Source organism: Homo sapiens, chromosome 3 (genome assembly GCF_000001405.40).
Source record: "Homo sapiens chromosome 3, GRCh38.p14 Primary Assembly".
In the NCBI taxonomy this organism is placed as follows: domain Eukaryota; kingdom Metazoa; phylum Chordata; class Mammalia; order Primates; family Hominidae; genus Homo; species Homo sapiens.
In genome coordinates, this window is record NC_000003.12 from 16,817,917 (window position 1) to 16,830,399 (window position 12,483).

Sequence of the window (12,483 nt, forward strand, 5' to 3'; positions counted from 1 at the left end):
GCTGTGAATAATAAACAAATCTTGTGTAAATAGGAATAGAATAAACTCTCTACTAAGCAAAATGTTTTGTGGAAGATGCTTTATGTGTTTTACTTTCATAGAGCAGTTTACCCTCATCGTTAGGGAATGCTCTTTCCAAAGACTGGACACAGTGATTACATTTTGTTATCATCTTGGCTTGGCTGTTTTGGGGATAATAAGGTTTAGAATTGGAATCTGTTTCCCAGCAGTTATTGCCTGCATGGTTATACTTTATAAAATGCATGCTCCCCCATCAAGGAGTTGGAGGATAAGTCCCATCTTTTATATGTGGGCTACATATAGGGACTGCCTTCCAAAGAGTACAGTATGGACAGGGAGATAATGTAAATTTTCGGTGGAGAAACATGTCCAACATGACCTCTGCCGTGTAATCAAGGTTAATATTAGTAGTGGTAAGTCATGCTCACAGTATACAGCCTAGATATGGTGTGATCAGAATGGCACTTTACTTCTGCGGTCTCTCTCTCCAAAACTGATAACCACAGTCTAACCATGAGAAAAGCACACTGGACAAACCCACACAGGGGGACATCGTGCAAAGTATCTGATTAGTACTCTTCAAAACTGTTAAAACAGGTCATCAAAAACAAGGAAAATCTGGGAAACTGTCACAGCCTAGAGGAGTCTAGGGAAACACGACTACTAAGTATATATAGTACAGTATCCTGGATGAGATTGCAGGGAAGAAATGGGGCATCGCTAAAGTTGAAGGAAATAAAAATAATGTGTGGAGTTTCATTAATAATAATGCATCATTATTGGCTTATTAGTTGTGACAAGTGTACCATAAAATATAAGATGCTAATAACAGAGGAATCTGGGTGTGGTAACTCTGTACTATCCTTGCAAATTTTCTTTAAATCTTAAACTATTCTAAAATAAGTGTGCTACAAAAATGAATGGCAAATATTTGAATTGACCCATTTCCCCAGTGAAGCTATAAACCTGATTTAGACTGGTTGTGACTACGACACCCTCCAAGGCTGACCCTGAACTTTATTAATTTAAATGCAGCAGCAACAAACAAAATCTAACTTTGGAATGATTTTTCTAGGGAGGCTGAGGTTAAGGTTAGCAGTCATTGTGGCTGTATGACCAGACCAGTGAAAATACCGAGACCATAAAGGGTGACTCCATTGAACCATTTCATTTTGCAGATGAAGAAATTGAGGCCCAGAAAGAGGAAGTCATTCACTGGGGTTTTGTGAACACTGAAGTTGAACCCATATTTTCTGCCTCCTAATTCAGGGTTCATTCTCCTCCCTCATGCTTCTTCCTGAACCCTTCTGCTCAACACAAAAGCTTGCTTTTGCTTTCCTCCTGTTTTGTCCAAAGATGGGGGTGCCACATATCCTAAACATCATATTTAAAAAAAGAGAGAAAAATGCATGAAATTTTGGATTAAGTTGAGATGGGTCTGAATACCAGCACTTTTTTGGTCTCTGAGTCTGTTTTCCTCACTTACAAAAACGACTTCAATAATCCCTGCCTCTCAGGATTCAGTGAGATTCTGTACATAAAACCTAGTACACAGCCTGGCCACCCAGGACCCTCATTAATTGATGGTTTCCATAAAAATACATATTTGTATACCAATGGCAGTGACAAGATGCCATGGGCCCTTAAATAGCACATATGAATTACATAATAACTATATTCATGGAAGCTTTTCCTAACCAGGGAAAGCCAGCTAACCATAAAGCCAGCTGCCTCTGCAGGCCTTCCTCTTCACCACAGTGTTCTCTGTTAAAGTCAAGCCTAGTGAGTGGGGAGATTTACATGGCAAATTAGTGCATGAGTTTCAAGAGATAGCCTCCTCCTGCATGGGGGCTAGGAGACAGCAGTTTGACTAAATGCATTATTATTATGATATATTTTTTAAATCACAGGCTGGAAGCAACACAATTTGATGCCTTGGAATGTTCAGCTTGGTCTCTAAATATTGCATTGATATTGAATTGTCTCTTTTCCTCACAGCTGATAAAAAACTGAGATTTGTGTTTCAGATGGCAATTAATAAGGATAATCTCCATTCTTCATTTTCATTTTAATGCAGAAAGCAGTGTGTGCATTCTATGACTGATCTTGTGGTCTGCCTTTGATGGCCAGTCCCAAACACTCTTACTTATCATAGAGGCAGGCAAAGAAATGTGGCAAGACAAACCATTATTGCATAGTTTGTCAAATTTTAAAATATTTTTAAAAAGTAATGGATTAGCAGCTTTCATTATGGAGTTCTTTAGGAGAACATTTCCAACATTGCAGAAAGGTCTTATGAGCTGTTCTAGACGATAATTTCCTCAGGCTCTTCTGTTCTGTAGATCCCTGAAAATCTTGTCTAAACTGAATATCTATTAGTCAGGATAGCCTAAGTTTTGCTGCAGTAACAACTTCCAAACCTTGGTGGCTTCAAACAACAAAGGTCTATTTCTCAGTCATATTACATGTCCAATGCAGGACCTAGGTTGAGAAAGAACCCACCATCTGGAAAATTGTCAATCACTCTGGCAGAGGTAAAGAAAGTTCTGTGGGTCTTGAACCACCAATTGGTGCCCCAGATCAGAAATGACATGTCATCTTCATTAACAACCCATTGGTCAGAACAAGTCATATAATCCCACCTAGCCACTAGGGGAACCAAGAATTTCAGAGAGAAAACCTGGATATCAGTGAGCTGGTCTGTTGACATCAGTTGACATGATCACTTACTCATTTTTGCTCATGAATTTACTCAGCAGATGTTTGAATATCTGCAGGTAAGCCCTGGGCACACAGAGATGAGCAAGCAGGCATGATTCTTGTTCTTAGGGAGCTTACTAATTATTTGCCAGTAAATGACCATTAAAAGAACAATGACAGTGACAAGACATAAGTATTCTGATAAGGAAAGGACAAGATGCTTTAACATCAGCAAAGCAAGCAGTTTTCATGGGTGTCAGTAAGATAACCGGAACTATGAGTATTTGTTTCAGTTAAAGAATCCAGAATCAGCACTAGGATAGGAAAGCAGGGGCTTCTGTTTATTCTTTCAATCTCTTCATGTGCAGATTTGCTCCATTCCTGAATGAAGCCCAAGAGAAGTGTTTAGCTAGCCCCTCCCTGCCAAGTGGTCATTTTGACTGCAAATGCCTTGGGCAGGTTCCTGGAGGTTGCATGGACACTTGCCTATGTGGGCACACTAGCCCATGCTCACAAGATTCTCCATGGCACCCAGGGCTGGTGTTCCTGACACAGAGGCCGAGCTGGGCAGCAGGTGTGCAGTCCCGTCTGGATTTTCACACTGGAGAAGCCAAGAGCCCAGCGTCACTTCAGTGAGTCTCCATGGCATTGTGGATGGAGGCAGCAGGGAGGTGCCACCAGGTCCTGCCTGGATGGCTCTTGCTCCCTTCCAAGTTCCCTGGTACTTTGCCCTTATCTTCTGACCTGCCCATCCACGGAAGAGGATATGTGGCTGAGTGTCACAGTTCAGCTCCTGTTATCTGGTTTAGGGGGTCTCTACAAAGTACAAATTCATTAAATCCCCATTTCCAATGATGTGATTCTTTTTCTTTATCCTTCCCCTTAAATTCATTCATTCATTTATTCATTCAAAATAGACATGCTGGGAGACAGCATGACAGTTACAAGCCTGGACTCTGAGGCTAGACTTCCTGAGTTTGCATCCCAGCTCTGCCACTTGTAGCGTGTGACCCTGAGCAAGTTATTTAACCCTTTTGTGCCTCATCTATAAAGTGGGAATAATAATTGTAACTACTTCAAATGCTTGTTGTGAGGATTGCATTTGTTAATAGAAGTAAAGTGCTTTGAAAGTTACCTGGCACATAGTAAGCACTCAAATTAGCTGTTATTATTATCCGTATTTCATTATTATTGTTCCTAAGTACCTGCCGAAGTGCTCAGCAGCACAGTTTTCTTTTAAAATTAGGGCTGGGGAAGATACAAAGTCAGAGAAGCAGCTGTGTAGCATGGTGGCTAAGGTACAAGCTTTGCAGTCAGCCAGACCTGGATTCAAGTCTGGGCTCTGTCATTTACTAACTGTGTGACTTTTTGTAAATTATGAAGCTAGCTCATCTGTAAAATGTGGATAATGATTCTCATGGTTTTCACAGGAATTGGCTGAGATGATGGATGTACCTCAACACTTAGCACCTATTGAACACTCAATACAGTCTGGCTGTAGAAGTAGCACTAGGGGGAGAAGAAGACAGTTAGTGGATGCTAGACAAGGAAACAAGCACATAATAGATGGTTGTTCTTGAGATGTGCAGGACAGTGAGGTGGAACCATGCAGGACAGAAGTATGGGCTCCAAAAAGGAAGCAGGGATTTCTGAGGGGGTGATCATAGAAGGTTTTTTTGTATGAGATATCATGGAAACTGGGCCTTGAAGGGTGGGTATGGATGGGTCAGGCAGGAAAGGAGGGAGGAAGCAATCCACATATAGGAAGAGGCAGGCCTTGAAGCCCAAGCTAATGTGATCTCATCTTATTGGGTAAACAATGGGGAGCCATTGAAGGATTTTGAGTTGGAGAGTGACCTGGTCACTAAGATCAAAGAAGGAAGTGGGGAAGTAACTTCACAGAGCAATGGGGCCAATTGACATGTATTCAAGTAGAGGAGATACAAATCATAACAGTGGCATTTAGAGCACTTACTGTGCGCCTGGCGCTGTCCTAAGCCTTTGATTGCATTAACTTACTAAATCTTCATAGCAATTCCGCTGAATGGGTATTCTTATTATTCCCAAGTTACAGATGATACAGAGTAGTTAAGTGACTTGCTTAAAATCACACAATGAGAAAGTCTGGGTCCAGGATTCAAACCTAGATAGCCTGGCCCTGAGCCTGTGCTCTGCTCCATGAGATGCCTGCAGTTTTGTGGGCACCAGAGAAGGACAGAGCGAAATGGAATATACAGATGATGGGAGATGTTGCTTCTCCAAGGAGGACTGATGGGAAGAGTGATTTAAAATTCATCTTGGGATATAGGAGAACCCTGGTTCTCTGAAACATTGAAGAGGAACTATGAGTAGAAGAAGGCAGTGTAGGATGAGGGCAGCTGAGGGACCTCCTGGGAAGTAGCTTAGATGTTCTAACTTGAGGAAGAGTTGAGAGGGAGGTGGCAGAAGGGTGGTGCTTATTGGGGGTTTATTTAAAAAAGGGAGCTTTTGAAATAGAGTCCCTGACCATATAACCTAACAAAAGGTTTGTTGTGCCAGGCTAGGCACTTTCTGGGAGGGCAGTGCAGCCAGAACTGAACTGGCTGCCCAATTCCAAGCTCTGTCATTTTCTAGCTGTGTGACTTTAGGCATGTCACTTAACTTCTCTGTGTCTCAGTTTCCTCGTTTGGAAAATGAAGCTACTTACCTCATAGGGTTGTTAAGAGGATTGGACCTGCTAGTTAACGGAGAGCAGTTAGGCCTTAGGATAGTTATCCCTATGCAAGTGGTAGCTACAATTATGGTTGTTGTTATTTTTTTTTACAATGCCAGAAATATTTTTAATAGTTTTACTGAAGTATAAGTGGTATGCAAAGAATTACAGATATGTAATGTGCAGAATTTGATGAGTTTAGACATATGCAAAAACCCGTGATACCATCACTGTGATCAAAATAATAGTCACATCCATCACCTCCCAAAGTTCCCTTGTGTCCTTTTGTTTTTGGGGTGTGTGTGTGTGTGTGTGTGTGTGTTAAGAACATTTAACATGAGATCTTCCCTCTTATCAAAATTTGAAGTGTCTAATACAGTATTGTAAATTATAGGCGCTATGCTGTGCAATAGATCCCTAGAACTTAATCATCGAGCAGAACTAAAATTTTACACCCATCGAACAACAACTCTCCACTTTCCCAGTCCCCAACCCCTGGAAACCACTATTGTATTCTATGCTTCTGTGAGTTTATTATAGATAGCTCATACAAGTGGAATCATTGGCAGAAATCCTGACAGCTCAGGGCAGAAAGGGAATAGTTGTAGCTGGTGGCCCAGGCCTCTCAGGGCGAGCCCCACAGCCTGGTGGCTGGAGTACAAGAGCTTCCATGATGTTTCAGGTTGCAGGTGTGCAATGACTACCTTTGGTCAATGAACTTTCTTCTTTTTCTGGTGACAAATTCCAGAATCACCGAGGAAGCCTTTTGATTCTAATTCCTATTGTGAGAACAGATGTGTTCAGTAGCGTGCTTACTAAATAAGATACCAAGCCGAGGGGAAACATGGAGGCTTATGAAAAAATGCCAGGTACACTAACAAAGGAACTTGGGTAATCTGTGCTTCAAACCACAGATGCTACCACCCCCTCATCAAGGTTTCAGTTGGTTTAAAAGCCTTCTCCTCAATTTCCTGTTTCAGGGCAGACCTTCTATCTTATTTGCCTTTACCATCTGCCGTCTCCCCACCCTCACTCCAGGGGCATTAGAGATTCTGATCACTAACAAAACTGAAGATGTTGGGACAGGTGACTTACAAGGCTTACAGACAGCAAGGCTTCTGTGAGAGAGGGAAGTCAAAAGGATTCCATTTTAATTTGAGAGCATACTATGTTACATCTGTAGGATGTGACACACTCAATTGATAACTACTCACTATATCAGCAATATTTTGAACTCAATCTGCCAGCATCTCAGATGAGATTAATTTCAGAGGTACTGTCTTTTGATGCTAGGGAGCCACATTGGCGGCCCCAGTTCACCTATTGACTTGGGTCATTGGAAATGGCAAGAGTTGGGGAGATGGAGAAGATGTGCCTCTCCAGTCTCCACTAGATACTCCCATGTAACACACCTCCACAGGCTTATTCCACTAGTTAAAGGTTATTTGGATTTACAAATACCTATGTGCCTTATGGAATTTTCACCATTTGTCTTTCATTACCCAGCTGAATCAGAGCCTCTAGGGGCCACCTGAATTTCCTGAAGCCAGGGGCAGAGGTGAGAGAAGAGGGCAGGGAAGATGGGGAGGTTTCCAGAAGCATTTGACCTTCTTTGCAAATTTGCCCAGGATCTTTTGGCCTTCCATGCTGAATGCCACCGAAAGACGACCACATAGAAAATGTCATAAAGAAGTTACAAAATGTATGCTTACGTGCAGAAGAGAGCATCTGAATTTCTTTGAAATTCATTCACTCAGAGGGCCATCATTTATTTAATAAGCATTTATATTCAATGCTCTCAGCTTTGTCTGCACATTGGAATCACCTGCCAAGATTTTAAAAACTCTGATGTCCAGGACATACCTCAGACCTGTTAAACCAGAATCTCTAGAAGTGGGACCCAAGCATCCATATTTTTGGAAAGCTCCCCCCAGGAGATTCCAAGGTGCAGCTGACATACATGGTGCTGAGTGCTTTTTTGCGTGTATTAATCCATTTAATTATCACAACAATCTTATAAGAGAGATGCTGACATTGTTCCCATTTTACAGGTGATGAGACAGAGGCACAGCAAAGTCTCTGCAAGAACACATGGCTGATAAATTTCAGAGTGTGGATTTGAACCCAGGCCATCTTGCTCCAGAGTTAATACTCTTAGCCAACAGGTTCATTTCCTGTCACTACATGAAAAACGCAAGTTCCTGGCAAAGCCTCTTACTGTAAAGTAGCCATGGAGCCGGGGATGGAGGCCCTGTATCTGTTTTCTGGGAAGCCGAGAAAAAGATCTTACCAAGCAATGCCACATTTATAATTAGTGGTTTTAAAAAATTTCTACCAGAAAGTGCAAACTTTCCCATTCCTCCCACAGACCGAGGGTAAAATTTCCAACTTTTCCTTTCCCATATCCACCCAAAAAAAGGTCAAGAGCTGGGATCCAGCCTGAATTAAGTGGAGTGTGGGTGTAGTTTGTCAGCTGGGTCTTCTGTTTGTGGTTAAGGTCCAGCCCATCAGGTTGAAGGCTTACTGACACATGTGTGGGAATGGGAGGTTCGTCATATGCTTGTCTTAAATTAGTCTGCTGCTTCATTAGATGGACTAAAAAGCTGAGGAAAGAGGATGGGGCTGCAAGGGGAATGGTATCTGGTCCCAGTTCCTCCCCCAAACCAGCCCTGGAACGTTAGTGAGTAACTTCACTTCCCTCTGCGCTTGGCCACCTCTTCGGTAAAATTAAGAGAGTTGGATTCCATTCAAAGTCACATCTCAGTTCAGCCAAGAGACATGCTTTTCTTGGCCCCACAGTGCTTTCAAATTTTTTGAATTAATTGTGAACATTAAACAATTGGAATCATTTACATAAAAATCTAGATTTCCAGCTTCTTTTGAAAAATTGGAAGAGATGTTCTTGCCACATTGGGTCCCATAGGACAACCATGGGCTGGAGTTGAGAGCCATCCACTCTCTTTAGATGGGACATACTCTCCCCAGGTTTCCATTCCTCACCTGGCCAATGTCATTGTTTACTTACCTGCCTGGCCGCTATAGACTATGGGGAAATCTGATCATAGTCCCTTCCAGAAGTCGAAATACCTTTATCCATGGGATCTTAAAACCTGTAAGGCAGGGGCGAAATCTTATAGACTCGGGCTTAGTCAAAATTTTCATGTAAAGATAAGGATGATCAAAGGAAAACTAATAAATGGTAATGTTCTCTCTTAGATACTTGCCTATGTTTTATCTTTAACCTCAAAACATAGAATTCATAATATTTGGCATACTTTCTGTGTATTTTTATATTCTGGCTCACTTTTGGAAGGCGTAGGCAGAGACAAAACAAAAGCCATAAAAGGTTACAAAGAAATTGCGTAGTCAAGAAGAGAAGACACCAGGATAATGTGTTCTCAGAAGGACAGTCTGAAATTACAGAGGAACTACCTGTTCTTCAAAACAAAATTATCTGAAATAAATTCCAAGAAAATATGCCAGGTGGGTGCTAAATCTGATGTTTTTATATAGTCCACATTTAATAAAATTATCTTCTTTGACAGGATGTGAAGTTTTTAGGGAGCTAGGCTATTTATTTAGAAACTTTCATTTGATCAAAAGTCACCAGAAATCACACATAAGTTTAATTTTGTTAACTCTTAAAGCTCTTCAGATAGGACCATAATAAAAATACAGCTGGATGCAAATAAATTAGTGTAATGCAGCCTGACCACTCACAACATTGTTTTATGCATTTTGTTTATTTTTATTGAATATTTGTGAAAACAAAAGTAATATATACATATATAAAATACAGTAGAAAGGTGAGAAATGAGCAGTAAATGTCTCTTCTCCTTTATCTTTTATTATTTATTGTGGTAAAATACATATAAAATTTACCATCTGGACCATTTTTAAGTGTACCATTCAGTAGAGTTAAGTATATTCACGTTGTCATGTTTTCTCTCTTAACCCCAATATTAACCCCAGTTATGTTTTTCTATATTATTTCAGAAAATTATATGCACATTTTTATTATTCATACAAATAAATTTCCTTACATCTTCCAAAGCTTTGACATCACCATAGACCAATCTTTCTTGTTCTTTGCAATGACTACAGAATACTCCATTTTTATAAATAGGCCATAATTTACTTAACCAATTCTTTATTAGTGGATACTTAGACCATCTTGAGATCTCGGCTGCTACTGAAAAGAAAAAAAAATCCTATAGTAAACATATTTGGTCCATACATCTTGACCTATGTACAAGTGTATCTTGTGGGTAAATTCTCAGCAGCCAATAAACTGAAACATTTGTTCGGTTGAAATTTTTCTATCTGAACGTGGATATAGTTCCATAATAACACTTTTTAGATTGGGTAGAATACTCATGATAAACTATAATGACATATGTGATAAATTTCAGTGGTAGCTTGGACCCTGGGATTAGATGACCTACTTCCAAATCTAGGCTTTCACAGACTAGCTGTGGGGCCTTGGAAAACTTGCTTATAACATCACTTGCTTCAACTTCCTCATCTGAAAAATGGGATTAATAATACTACCTGCCTCTAAGGGTTGATGGAAGAATTGCTGAATGAACAATACCTGGCACATAGTAAGCATTATATGCATTAGCTATTATTTTAGATCTCTTAATCATAAAATTTGAGCTTGATATTTTAGACATGATAGCTCATCAGATATTTTCAATTAAAAGTTTTCAAGATCCCAACATTTTATTCTATAATTCTATTCCCAAGGCATCTGTAAAATAGACAAAACCTCACAACATGCAAAAACTAAAAGGCCTTACCTGTACTCAATCAATTCTTGTTTTCTTCTGTTTCTTTAGGAGTACTTTGGATTTCTCTTTCTTTTTTCTTATATTTGGCATGGGAATTGCACTTAATTTTCCTGAACTTACTCTGGGTCAAATGAAAACCTGGGATGACTTTTTGTGAGAACAATTCTTTACCACACCCTAAATGTCTGAAAATCTCCCCCATACTTTGCAAAATAATTTTGACTTTGTTTAGTTACCTATAATGACTCATTTCTTTTCATAATGAGGATACAGCCAAAAGAATCCCTATGATGTCCTTCTCCTCAGTTTCCCTGACTTGGGTGGGTGAGAGAAGAAGGCTGCAGATTTACCAATAGCCCATCTGCTGGGTGGCCACTGGCTACCTGCCTGGATTCTGAAGGTCTTACTTTGTGTCACAGAGCCCAAACCACTCACTCTTTGTTCCAGACTAGTTCTTCCTTGCTTATTTTTAGCCTTACAGAAAGCCTCTCCCATCCCTCTCTATCGCTTTGATTAACGGCCTTTTGTTAGAGCGACAAGGATGATTCAGGTGAAACAACAGAAACACTGGCAAAGAAGAGGTTGGTTGGCAGGAAAGATGGTGGGATGGCATGTGGACAGGTCTTTGTGCAGATGGTTTCTGTCCAGTGTAGTGGCCGTAGCTGAGTGCTGTTGTGTGCACCTGTAATCTCAGCTACTTGGGAGACTGAGGTAGGAGGATCCCTTGAGCCCAGGAGTTCAAGGCCAGCCTGGGCAATATAGTGAGAGGTTGTCTCAAAAAAAAAAAAAAAAAAAAAATCCAAAGGCCTCTTAGCTCCTGCCATTACTTCGTGGCCACAAGGGGTCCCTCTGCCCTAGATTGTCAGGTGATGGCAAAACATACAATCTTGAAGGTCAAAGAAACAATAAGGGATCTTGTAGACTTCCATTTTAAAGCCTCAGATGCAAGCTGACTCGCTGTGAGTAATTACAGTTGGAAAGAAGTTTTGTTGCTGTCGTTTGTTGTTTGTTAGTAACAATGCCTTGAACTGATTTCTGAAAAAGTATATATCCTAGAGCAGTGGCCCTAATGCCCTGAACTGCTCTGACTGAGTCTGACCTCAACTCCAGGCAGAGCCGAGGGATTCATGCTGAAAGCTAACGAAGAACCTAAATATTTTTTGAGCACCAATTATGTTCCAGACTTTGTTCTAGAACCTGAGAAGGCAGTGAACAGAGTGGAGAAAGCACTAGTGTTCAGGGAGCTTACTTAGTGGTGAGAGCAGTTATAGATAGATAAATAGCCAATAGAATTGGTAATGGTAAAGACTAAGAAAAATAAAGTGGGATAAGAAAGGTGAAGAATGACAGCAGTAAGAAAATGAAGTAAAAGACATCATATTGTAAAGAAAGGTTTGAGATGACATAATTTTGTATGTAGAAGATTCTAAAGAATCCACTAAAACACCATTTGAACAAATAAGTGGTTTGACAACGTTGCAAGATACAAGATCAATATACAAAACTCAATATATTTTTATATACTTGCAATGAACAGTATGAAAAAAATAAGAAAATAATTGTATTTATAACAGCATCAAATAGAATAAAATACTTAGGAATAAATTTAACAAAAGAATTGCAAAATATGTACTCCAAAAACTGCATAATATTGTTGAAAGAAATTAACAAAGGGCTAGATAAATAAAAAGATATTCCATGTTCATGAATCAGAAGATTCATTGTTAAGATGGCAACACTCCTTAAACTGATCTACAGACTCAAACCCTATCAGAATCCCAGTTGGCTCCTTTGTCAAAATTTACAAGATAATCCTAAAATGTATATATGGAATTGAAAGGGACCCCCAAATAAATAAAATAATCTTGAAAAACAAGAACAAAGTTGGAAGACTCACACTTTCTGATTTGATTTGATTTGGAGATGGAGTCCCACTCTGTCGCCCAGGCTGGAGTGCAATGGTGCGATCACGGCTCACTGCAACCTCCGCCTCCTGGGATCAAGTGATTTTCCTGCCTTAACCTCCCAAGTAGCTGGGATTTGCATGCACCACCACACACAGTTAATTTTTGTATTTTTAGTAGAGACAGAGTTTCACCATGTTGGCCAGGTCTTGAACTCCTGACCTCAAGTGATCCACCCGCCTTGGCCTCCCAAAGTGCTGGGATTACAGGCGTGAGCTATCATGCCTGGCCTACACTTTCTGATTTTAAAAGTTACTATTAAGCAACAGTAATCAAGATAGTGTGATACTTGCATAGTATAAACTTACAGGTC

General features: G+C 40.2%; 1 annotated feature.

Moving 5' to 3' along the window:
* Positions 2,681-2,860: an enhancer, noted in NCBI's record as "active region_19554". NCBI's record gives its function as "activates an Ori minimal core promoter by ATAC-STARR-seq in GM12878 lymphoblastoid cells {active_cell/tissue: GM12878}" and the evidence as "EXISTENCE:reporter gene assay evidence [ECO:0000049][PMID:35858748]".